Source organism: Homo sapiens, chromosome 8 (genome assembly GCF_000001405.40).
Source record: "Homo sapiens chromosome 8, GRCh38.p14 Primary Assembly".
Lineage (NCBI taxonomy): Eukaryota > Metazoa > Chordata > Mammalia > Primates > Hominidae > Homo > Homo sapiens.
The window spans coordinates 30319320-30321028 of NC_000008.11; positions in this window are offsets into that span (position 1 = coordinate 30319320).

The following is a 1709-nucleotide window of genomic DNA, read 5'->3' on the forward strand; positions in this document are numbered from 1 at the left end:
TGTTGATTTTTGTTTTTTAATGAAAATTTAACTGTGTGGCATTGAGCAACATCTGTGATCTTTGACTTTATTAATAAAGCAAACAACCATCAATCAGCTATTTGTATTTTCCAGTAGTTATGCTATGCCCTCTGAGAAATCCAAAATCTAAGCCATGATCCCAGCCTTCAAGAAACTTACATGACGCCAGCCACGATGAAAAATGAAGAGAGGATCTGAACTTGTGGAGATAATAAACAAGTGTATGAGACAGAAAATACACACGCAAGGAAACAAATATCTAATTGCAAATTGTGATCCGTGCTATGAAGTAAATAAGCAAGCTGATGTGATCGAGGGGGAAGGGAGGAAGGAGGTGACTTCTTTAAATAAGGTTCTCAGGGCAGGCCTCTCAAGGAAGTGTTATTTATCCTAAAAGCTGAAGACAGAGAAGAGACTGCCACCCAGAAGATGGGAAAGAGAGAAACAGTACATTGCCAGACACAACGCATGACACCAAAACTCCTCTAAACCAGAGGGGAAACTTAAACTCATCTTTCAGATGCCTTTGGAGCTCATCGTGTCTATTTGAAATGCTCCCTACAGAGTCTAGAGCAGAGCTTTACTCATTGTAGATGCTCAATACACGTGAAGTGAACAGACAAGTGGCTCTGAGAATAGCTTTCTTATTGTTGGGCAATTGATACCCTATTCATTGTGCACGTACAAGCTCCTCTCCTTAGTTACGGCTTCCTAGGAACTCTTGTGGATGACACAAAAGTAAGAGGAGGCTGGGGGCAGTAGCTTATACCTGTAATCCCAGCACCTTGGGAGGCCGAGGGGAGCAGATCACATGAGGTCAGGAGTTTGAGACCAACCTGGCCAACATGGCGAAACCCCATCTCTACTAAAAATACAAAAATATTAGCCGGGCATGGTGGCACACACCGTAATCCCAACTACTGGGGAGGCTGAGGCACGAACCTGGGGGGCAAAGGTTGCTGTTAATTGAGATGGCACTACTGCACTCTAGCCTGGGTGACAGAATGAGACTGTCTAAAAAAATAAAAACCTTGCTCTAGACAAGCCGCCCCCTAGTTCTTCCAATGGTGAACCTTCCTAGTTGAGCAGGGTTACCATAACCCACACCTGGATGTATCAAAGAAAACTGTGCATCTATCTGCTCAAAGTTGTCCGAATTCCCAGCAGGGGCACCTGCTCTATCTCAAAATGTAAGACTCTGGAATGAGCACTTTGTAGGTTTCAGGTCCACTGCAGACATTAATGTCTGGTGGGTGGGTTGGATTTATGATCAGCATCATCTGGGAATCACATTCTGTCCATTAGGTCGAGCTAAGTGCTGTCAGGAATTTGAGGAAGAGCTCTGCTGAGTGAGGGAGCGAATAAGTGGTTATGACGTTTTAAGTGACTCCAGATGGCCCCGCAGGTACTGCGGTGGCAGCTCCACGCAGGGCACAGCCGCTGAGCAGTCTGCGAACTCACTTAACCCTCAGAAGTTTGGAATCCAAAACACTTGCCATTTGCTGTTTAGTTTCACGTACTTTTTATATGCACTAAGATGACAAGAAAGCTCAAAGAGAAATCACCCAGTACACATTTTAGATTGAACATGAAAACTATAAATCTGCCCTTGAAAGTCAAACTTGTCTCACATTCTAGAGTCTTGTGGAAGACCAAGTACCATGAGCACAGCTCCCAGCAGTATAGTT